Source organism: Homo sapiens, chromosome 2 (genome assembly GCF_000001405.40).
Source record: "Homo sapiens chromosome 2, GRCh38.p14 Primary Assembly".
Lineage (NCBI taxonomy): Eukaryota > Metazoa > Chordata > Mammalia > Primates > Hominidae > Homo > Homo sapiens.
Genome location: NC_000002.12, coordinates 21,213,201 through 21,214,636, shown reverse-complemented (window position 1 = coordinate 21,214,636; position 1,436 = coordinate 21,213,201). Strand labels below are relative to the sequence as shown.

Sequence of the window (1,436 nt, the reverse complement as noted above, 5' to 3'; positions counted from 1 at the left end):
TACCGGGTTCATCTCACTAGGGAGCGCCAGACAGTGGGTGCAGGACAGTGGGTGCAGCGCACCGTGCATGAGCCGAAGCAGGGCGAGGCATTGCCTCACTCGGGAAGTGCACGGGGTCAGGGAGTTCCCTTTCCTAGTCAAAGAAAAGGGCGACAGACGGCACCTGGAAAATCCGGTCACTCCCACCATAATACTGCGCTTTTCTGATGGGCTCAAAAAACGGCACACCAGGAGATTATATCCCACACCTGGCTCGGAGGGTCCTATGCCCACGGAGTCTCACTGATTGCTAGCACAGCAGTCTGAGATCAAACTGCAAGGTGGCAGTGAGGCTGGGGGAGGGGCGCCCGCAATTGCCCAGGCTCGCTTAGGTAAACAAAGCAGCCGGGAAGCTCCAACTGGGTGGAGCCCACCACAGCTCAAGGAGGCCTGCCTGCCTCTGTGGGCTCCACCTCTGGGGGCAGGGCACAGACAAACAAAAAGACAGCAGTAACCTCTGCAGACTTAAATGTCTCTGTCTGACAGCTTTGAAGAGAGCAGTGGTTCTCCCAGCATGTAGCTGGAGATCTGAGAACGGACAGACTGCCTCCTCAAGTGGGACCCTGACCCCTGACCCCCGAGCAGCCTAACTGGGAGGCACCCCCCAGTAGGGGCAGACTGACACCTCAAACGGCCGGGTACTCCTCTGAGACAAAACTTCCAGAGGAACGATCAGACGGCAGCATTCGCGGTTCACGAAAATCCACTGTTCTGCAGCCACCACTGCTGATACCCAGGCAAACAGTGTCTGGAGTGGACCTCTAGCAAACTCCAACAGACCTGCAGCTGAGGGTCCTGTCTGTTAGAAGGAAAACTAACAAACAGAAAGATCATCCACACCAAAAACCCATCTGTACATCACCATCAACAAAGACCAAAAGTAGATAAAACCACAAAGATGGGGAAAAAAACAGAGCAGAAAAACTGGAAACTCTAAAAAGCAGAGCGCCTCTCCTCCTCCAAAGGAACGCAGTTCCTCACCAGCAACGGAACAAAGCTGGATGGAGAATGACTTTGACGAGTTGAGAGAAGAAGGCTTCAGACGATCAAACTACTCTGAGCTAAAGGAGGAAATTCAAACCAAAGGCAAAGAAGATAAAAACTTTGAAAAAAATTTAGACGAATGTATAACTAGAATAACCAATACAGAGAAGTGCTTAAAGGAGCTGATGGAGCTGAAAGCCAAGGCTTGAGAACTACGTGAAGAATGCAGAAGCCTCAGGAGCCAATGCAATCAACTGGAAGAAAGGGTATCAGGGATGGAAGACGAAATGAATGAAATGAAGTGAGAAGAGAAGTTAAGAGAAAAAAGAATAAAAAGAAACGAACAAAGCCTCCAAGAAATATGGGACTATGTGAAAAGACCAAATCTACGTCTGATTGGTGTACCTGAAAGT

General features: G+C 50.2%; 1 annotated feature.

The window, feature by feature from the left end:
* Positions 261–761: an enhancer, noted in NCBI's record as "H3K4me1 hESC enhancer chr2:21436748-21437248 (GRCh37/hg19 assembly coordinates)". NCBI's record gives its function as "activates a minimal SCP1, AML or CMV promoter by ChIP-STARR-seq in naive H9 embryonic stem cells {active_cell/tissue: H9 hESC(naive)}" and the evidence as "EXISTENCE:reporter gene assay evidence [ECO:0000049][PMID:30033119]".